The following is an 8,074-nucleotide window of genomic DNA, read 5'->3' as shown; positions in this document are numbered from 1 at the left end:
CAGGCGCCGGTCACCGCGCCTGGCTAATTTTTTGTATTTTTAGTAGAGACGGGGTTTCGCCGTGTTAGCCAGGATGGTCTCGATCTCCTGACCTCGTGATCCGCCCGCCTCGGCCTCCCAAAGTGCTGGGATTACAGGCGTGAGCCATCGCACCTGGCCTGGAATTAAAGTCTTAATCTGCAGAGGCAAGGACAACAAAGTCTGCCACCTTAGAACACTGGAGGAAACCTCTTGCAACTATTTACTTTTTCCAAATAACATGTTTTAACTATAAAGTCATACATAAATTAAAAGGATGAGAAACACATGTCATACGGACCCTAAACAGAACAAAAACAGAAAAAGTATATAAATTTCAGACAGAGTAGACTTTAAAATAAGGGGGAAAATCAGAAAAACATTATATCATGGTAAAGGGATAAACTCTTTATGCAGACATAACAATCATAGATGTATATGCACCTAACAATAGAGTTACAAAATAAATGAGGCAAAAACTGATAGCTCTAAAAGGAGAAATAAACACATTTACAGTTATAGTTGTTATATTCAACAATCATCTCTCAATAATTGAAAGAACAAGCGGGAAAAAATTAGTAAGACTATAGGTGACCTGATAAACACTATTGACCAACTTGATCTAATTGAAAGTTACAGAAAACTCAACTCAAAAACATGAGAATACATATTTCCACCAGGACACATGGACAGTCACTAAAATGTGCCATTAAAAAAATCTTAACAAATTTAAAAGAACAGAAATAAACTCAAATAAATAAGGAAGACTGAAGAGATATTTTAGAAATATTTTTACTAAGCAAAAATGAAAATAAAACATTGCAAAATTGTCAAATGTAGCTAACAAACTTAAAGGAAAATTCATACCATCAAGCGCTTATATTAGAAAAACAGGAAATAAAATTAGTTACCTTAGTTTCTGATATAACCATAGCTAATCTAACCAAGAAAACAAAACAAAACAAAAAGTAAAGAAAATGACAGATATGGCCAATGTTGGAATGAACATGGAATATTGTTATATACCCTAAATACATTAAAAGGAAAATAAAAAATATATGATAACCAACTCTACAAGTTTAGATAAAATGCTCCAATTCCTTGGAAGACATTACTTAAAAACTATCTCAAGCCTGGGCGTGGTGGCTCATGCCTATAATTCTGGCACTTTGGGATGCCAAGGCAAGCAGATCACTTGAGGTCAGGAGTTTGAGACCAGCTTGGCAAACATAGCAAAACCTGTCTCTACTAAAAATACAAAAATTAGCTGTGCGTGGTGGTGCGCATGTGTAATCCTAGCTACTCGGGAGGCTGAGGCAGGAGAATCACTTGAACTCTGGAGGCAGAGGTTGCAGTGAGCTGAGATCACACCACTGCACCACACCAGCCTGGAGTACAGAATCTCAAAACAAAATAAAACAAAACAAAAAAACAAAACCCTAATTAAAAAAAAAAAAAAAAAAGCCTAACTCAGGAAGAAACAAATAACCAAAATAGCCTAGTGCATGTAAAATAAATTGAATTTTGTAACTGAAACTCCTACAAAAAAGAATACTCCAGGTACATATGGTTTAACCAGTGAATTCTGTGAAGCATTTAGAGAAGAAATGATACGAATTTGATATAATCACTTCCAAATAAAAGAAAAGAAGAAAACATTTACCAGCTGATTTTATGAGTTCAACATTACCTGAATGCTAAAACTAACAAAAATATCACAGGAAAAAATTTAAAAACCTGTAGAGTAAGTATTTTAAAACTACATAAAAGGCTATATAGCATATTGGGCTATGAGGTCCACACAAACTCTGTAAAATTATTAATTTCTGACTTTGTAGCATAAAAACAACCATAGACAATTTATAAATCAATATCCAATATAATATGTAAAAAGTCCTTTAACTAAAAGTTGAGCTTAGCAAAGTTTATAGTATACAAGGTAATATACAATGTCAGTCTTAATTTTATATAGCGATGAACAAATGGAATTTAAGCTTAAAAATCAATCAACAATAGAAACATTTAAAATGAAATACTTTGTATAATCTTATAAAATATGCAGAATATATACGCTTAAAAGTACAAAAACTGATGAAAGTGATCAAAGAATCACTGTGCAACAGTATTTTCATAGATAATATAAGGTTAAAGACAATTGGTATACTCTAGTGGTAAATTTCTTTCTCACAGGGGTGTCATTTAGCAATTTTAAAAATAGCTTACCTATATGTTAGGGTTAAATAAATGATAAAAAGATTGCATATGATTAGAACCAGATATCTAATTGTCAGATCAAGAAGTTATAAATAAGCAAGAATAAATGCCAGAGTGTATGGTATAATGTTAATTTAGAGATATCAGTATAAACCCATGTTTGGCTATAGATAGATAAAGAAAGTGCATAGCCATGTATTTATAAACAGGTTAGCATGTTTACTGTGGCTGTTTTAATACATGTCCATAAAACCTTTGATACTCTTTTCTCTAAGAGTTAAAGCTTAATTTCTGTCCTTTTGAATATAGGCTGGATTTAATAACTCATTTGCAAAGAATAAAGTATATTAAATACAGTAAACCCCAAGTTTCTCTTCAAAGAATCAGTATGTCAGTATGTTCAGCTTTCTTATTCTTTTTTTTTTCTTTTTTTTTTTTTTTTTAAGACGGAGTCTCACTCTATCACTCAGGCTGGAGTGCAGTGGCATGATCTCAGCTCACTGCAACCTCCACTTCCCGGATTCAAGCAATTCTCCTGCCTCAGCCTCCTGAGTAGCTGGGATTACAGGTGCTCACTACCACGCCCAGCTAATTTTTGTATTTTTAGTAGAGATGGGGTTCACCATGTTGATCAGGCTGGTCTCGAACTCCTGACCTCAGGTGATGCGCCCGCCTCACCCTCCCAAAGTGCTGGGACTACAGGCATGAGCCATCGCACCCGGCCCTCTGTTCTCCATTTTAAAGTTTAACTTCCTGGTTCTCTTCCCCCCTTTCCCTTTAGTTTCAGTAAACAACTTTCCCGCCAGTTGTAATCAGTAGTTCACATCTGTTCCCCTGGTCACCTGCTTTGACCTGAGTCACACCTGGTCACCTCCTCTGTCCTGATACATCCTGAGTCACCTGTTCTGTAACCGTCCTTCCTGCCAAACTACTCACCCCGCCACTCCAGCTCCTACCCCTGCTCTCTTTAAAAAAGCCCATCGGAATTAGCTTAGACTGTGCAGTCCAACCCTAGCCAATAGGGGAATGACACAGCAGTAGGGGCTACCTGCATCAGGAATAAGAACCCCTTCCTCTCCTGTGTTCAGGTCTCTTGCCATTGCTCCATCCGGGGGTTGCACCCTTCTATAGAAGTAAAAATTACCTTGCTGAGAGAATTAAATTCTTTGTCTGAGCGCTAGTTCTTTTCAGCATCGAGGAACAAGTATTTGTTTCTAACAAGCATGAAAAATAAAACACTAACTTTTCATTGAAGTAAACTGGCACTCTACCTTAATCAAGTGATCAACTTTAAGGTTATGAATAACTCATGCTGATATCATGTACCCCCGATATGATGTGATAACAAAAGAACTTTTCTTCTGTGCTATTTCCCCCTAAAATCAGTAAACTTATTCCAATCATGTGGAAATATTAGACAAACCTAAATTGAGGGGAATTCTACAACATTTTTTAACATTAATCTTTAAAAGTGTTATGGAATACAAGCAAAGACTGAAAAACTATTACAATTTGGAGAAGATGCAAAAACAAGTGAAGACATAGTTTTCAAAATGCCTCCTGGAACAACAGATAAAGAACATTGGTGGAAAATGTTGAAACCTGAATAAAGTCTGTATTAATACTATCATGCTAATATTAATTTCTTAGTTTTGAAGGAAGTACCATTGTTATGTAAGGTATGTGCCAGATTTTAATTTAGTATAGGAAAGAAACCAATATTGTTTTTTTTAAAAAAATGTGTTTTTCTTTAATGCCATCAAATTATATGGTGTAAAAGATTTGACAAGGTTAATTAATTTATATTCATGTGATCATCACCTCTTTAAATATTGAGAAAACATACTATTAGATCATTGACACACAAAAAAAGTGTTGGTCTATTTTCACAGCTAAATGTTACACAAATTACAATATAACACGTGTAGAGTATAATAATTACAATCTGTGATGACCACTTTGAGTTTATATGGCACTTACTTGAAAGTTAATTTAAAGACTAAAATTCTGTAGTTTTAAATTCATAAAATACAAGATTTTTTTTTAAACTGAGGTGCTACTACTAGTGTTGAAACAATAAAACAGTTTAAAACATTTTATATGAAGGGACTTTTAAAGTACTGGAAATACAGGTTAAAGCTTACACATACAATAATGCTTTCAATCATCATAGTATATAAATAACACTAGGAAAATGGCTTTTATTAAATTTTTGCTGGTAAAAAATATATGTATAATCTAACTAATTTTCTCTAGCTTATAAGTCATTACCTGTGATTATATCATAAAACTCAGATTTTTATTCTACCTGCAGTAGTAAGTTATATGTGAAAGAATGACATATTAACTTTTGGAATAGTTTCAGATATCCTGGATTGACTGTTATTTAAGGAGTTTTTAATAATTGATAATAAATAGAAATTTAAAAATATTTCTATAGTGTTATATTTAACATTAGTATAAATACACATTGGAGAACAAAAAGGACACACTCAATATTTACTTGATAGCAAAAGATAGACCAGAATCTCTCCCATAGAACTGAATCTTTCCTATCAGGAGAACTAAATCAGTATTATTGACTTGAAACTCCATCATAATTATTGTGCATCCTATCATGGGATAAATTGTATTCCCCCAGATTTCATATGCTGAAGTTCTAATCCTCAATATTACACAATATGAGCTTATTTGAAAATAGGGTCAATGCAGTTGTACTTAGAAAATATATGGTCATATTGGAGCAGGGTGAGCCTCTAATCCAATATGACAGGTGCCCTTATAAAAAGAAAACAATTGAAAACACACATACATGAAGAACACTATGTGAAAAAGAAGGCACAGACTAGATGATACTTCTGCAAGCCAAGGGGCTCTGTGATTGCCAGCAAACCACCAGAAGGTAGAAAAGAGGCATGGAAAAAATTTTGTTTGTTTGTTTGTTTTCTCACAGCATTAAGAAAGAAGCAACCATGCTAATACTTTCACATCTGGAACTTCTAGATTCTAGAACTCTGAGCGAATCAATTTCTATTGTATATTCCACCTATTCTGTGATGCTTTTTTTTTTTTAACAGCAACCCATGAAAACAAATACAAACATTTTCAGCCCATATTTTTGAGTCAAGACTGACCAAGGCACAAAGTACATTAGGAGACAACACCACCTGAATGTTTGTTTCTAGAGTGTTACTTTATAGTCCAAGTATATTAAAACCTTGAGCATTAATATTAATACTAAATTATAAGGTTTCATTTACTGCCACAACAATATTCTATATGATAGAATTTTTTCCACAAGATTCTTATTTGTTATTCTAAATCCCCAAGGAAAAGGCATTCCCAATGGAACTTGATAATCTTAACAAAATACAAAAATACACTGTTGAGAATATCCCTATTTCGTTGATATAGGAGATAAAAAGAAATTATTTAGGCAGATAGTGAGGGTAAGGAAGTCCTCAGTAAGGTTTTCCTTTTAATGAAAGCAGCTCCAAAGTCATTTCTTTTCTATCAAAAAGCAACCTAAAACATCTAGCTGCAGGCATAGATAAGCAAGCTGGAAGCTTGCATAGGCGAATACCAGCAGTAATGCCAATAGGAAAGGGATACCTTAAAGCCAGGTATATTCAACATGGAGGTTTCCTCTTTCCTTTTCTTTGTCTCCACGTATGCAGACAACATCGAGCCAGATAAAGACTGCAATTGCATAAAGATGACGGTGGGATGGACGGCCTCTTCATTCACTAAGTAAATGGCACACCTGGTCCAACCAATCCACTGCACCCTGAGTAAATCAGACACTGCCTCCTCAAGCCAGTCTATAAATCCCCTTGCACTCTGCCATGGATGAAAAGTCCCACTTGAACACCCCTCTCTCTCTGCAAGAGAGAAAGATATTTTCTTTTCTCTTTCTTTCACCTATTAAACCTCCACTCTTAAACTCATTTCTTGTGTGTCCATGTCTTCAGTTTTCTTGGTGTGAGACAATGAACCTTGGGTGTTTCCCCAGACAAACAACACTGCTTCATTGTGGGGTCTTGCTCAGGATTGGAAGGTAAATTCATCAGAACGGTCAGTATAGGAGCAGACCTCAACTCTGTCCTTTCATTTTGAGGCTCTCGGCCTCCATTTTAAAATCAAATCAAACCAAATGCTGTGCTTCTGTCAACCATTTAAAAAATGATTAGCCTGGCTGCCAGCCTTACAAAACTCAAGGGAACGTCTGGCTAGGGAGAATACAGAGAATCCCCCAGTACACATGGTTACTGGGCATGTTGGCCATGCTTCAAACTGGTTTCCTTTCACAGAGGACGCAGCTGTTGCATGGGGCTAGAAGAGATTCTGAAGTAACTTAGGATTTCTGGTCAGTGCTATCCCCTGGTGCTATCTGAAGGCTTCTGGACAGAACCAAGCAAAGTCAAGGAAGTCAAAGGGGAATCACAAGTGGAGAACTAGGGCTGCATGGGTATGTGTGACTAAACACATTACTTAGTTCTTCCAGTTCCATAGCTGGTGGGGGGTTCACACCCAAAACCATGTGTGGCATATTTAACAGGTATCAGGACCTCAGGGAACTAAAGAGGGAAAATAGTTTGAGGGACATCTCCACTGTCTTCCCCTCCACCCTGGGTTACAACCAAAGGAAGGAGACTAAAAAGATGCTTTTTTTTTTCACTTCTGTTTATAGATGGGTAATAGACCATCTTTGGCCTGCATTCCTCTGGAGTGCATTCTGAAGCATGGGGCTTCCTTTTACCCCAAGACTTTGAAGAAAAAGGTGGCTCATTTTCTTTTGCACAAGGGGATGGCATTCTTACTAGATCTTTGCAAGCATTACAAAATCAACCCAGCTTTTTTAGCAGTCATATAAGGCAGGCCTATAGAGAATGATTCCCCAAAAGTAGTGAAGTAACTTCCAGGGGAACCATCTGAGGATCCCCCTTAGTTGGGGCCCCCTCAAGTTCCCTTCTCATTATAGAATTTATGTAAAGAAAGGGAGACCCCGCTAGGTATATAGAAGCTTTCTAAAATTTAATGCAGGTGTTTAACCTCACATGGAGGGATGTTATTCTGCTCCTAAACCAAACCCTCACCTAAGCTGAAAAACAAGCAGCTCTGTAGGCAGGAGAGAAATGCAGAGACAAGCAACATGTCTTCTATAGTAGACTGAAAAGGAAAAAAGGAGATAGGGCAGGTGAAGAAGGAATGGAAATACTATTCCTGATAGGAAAGAAAGCAGTTCCTTTTGACAACCTTGATGGAACTTCAATAGCTCCGCAAATGAATGGAAAAGGAAACACTTGTTTAATGTGCATATTGGAGGGCCCACAAAAAATTAGGACCAAACCTCTAAACCGTCCATAATAGACCAAAAGCCGGATGAGAATCCCACAGCTTTTATGGAAAGGCTGAGTGAGACACTAATAAAACACACCTCCTTATCCCCTGATTCAGTTTAGAGACAGCTCATCTTAAAGGACAAGTTTTTTACACAGGCAGTTGCTGATATTAGAAGAAAACTGCCAAAGCAGGCTATAGGAACAGATAGCACCTTGGAGAACCTCCTGAGGGTGGCCACTTTGGTCTTTCATAACAGGGATCAGGAAGAGGCCCAGGATAAAGAGAGAAAACACAAGAGAAGGACAGAGGTTCTAGTAGCTGCTTTGCAGGCTTGAAAAGTCCAGGATCCCCAAGGTGCATCCACTAGTTGCTATTGATGTGGCAAGTCAGGGCACTTTAAAAAGGAGTGCCCAAGCAGCAAATAAGAAAAAAGCCACATCAACCCTGTCTAGCCCGTGGTGGGGAACACTGGAGATCCAACTTCTCCCAGAGATGAAGG

The 8,074-nt window shown here is 36.7% G+C and overlaps 1 annotated feature.

Moving 5' to 3' along the window:
* Positions 2,739–3,938: an enhancer, noted in NCBI's record as "P300/CBP strongly-dependent group 1 enhancer chr12:61045109-61046308 (GRCh37/hg19 assembly coordinates)". NCBI's record gives its function as "activates an origin of replication core promoter dependent on BRD2, BRD4, P300/CBP, MED14 and CDK7 cofactors, with strong dependence on P300/CBP, by STARR-seq in HCT116 cells {active_cell/tissue: HCT116}" and the evidence as "EXISTENCE:reporter gene assay evidence [ECO:0000049][PMID:35650434]".

This window comes from Homo sapiens, chromosome 12, assembly GCF_000001405.40.
Source record: "Homo sapiens chromosome 12, GRCh38.p14 Primary Assembly".
NCBI classification, from domain to species: Eukaryota; Metazoa; Chordata; class Mammalia; order Primates; family Hominidae; genus Homo; species Homo sapiens.
This window is presented reverse-complemented; position numbering and strand designations above follow the sequence as displayed.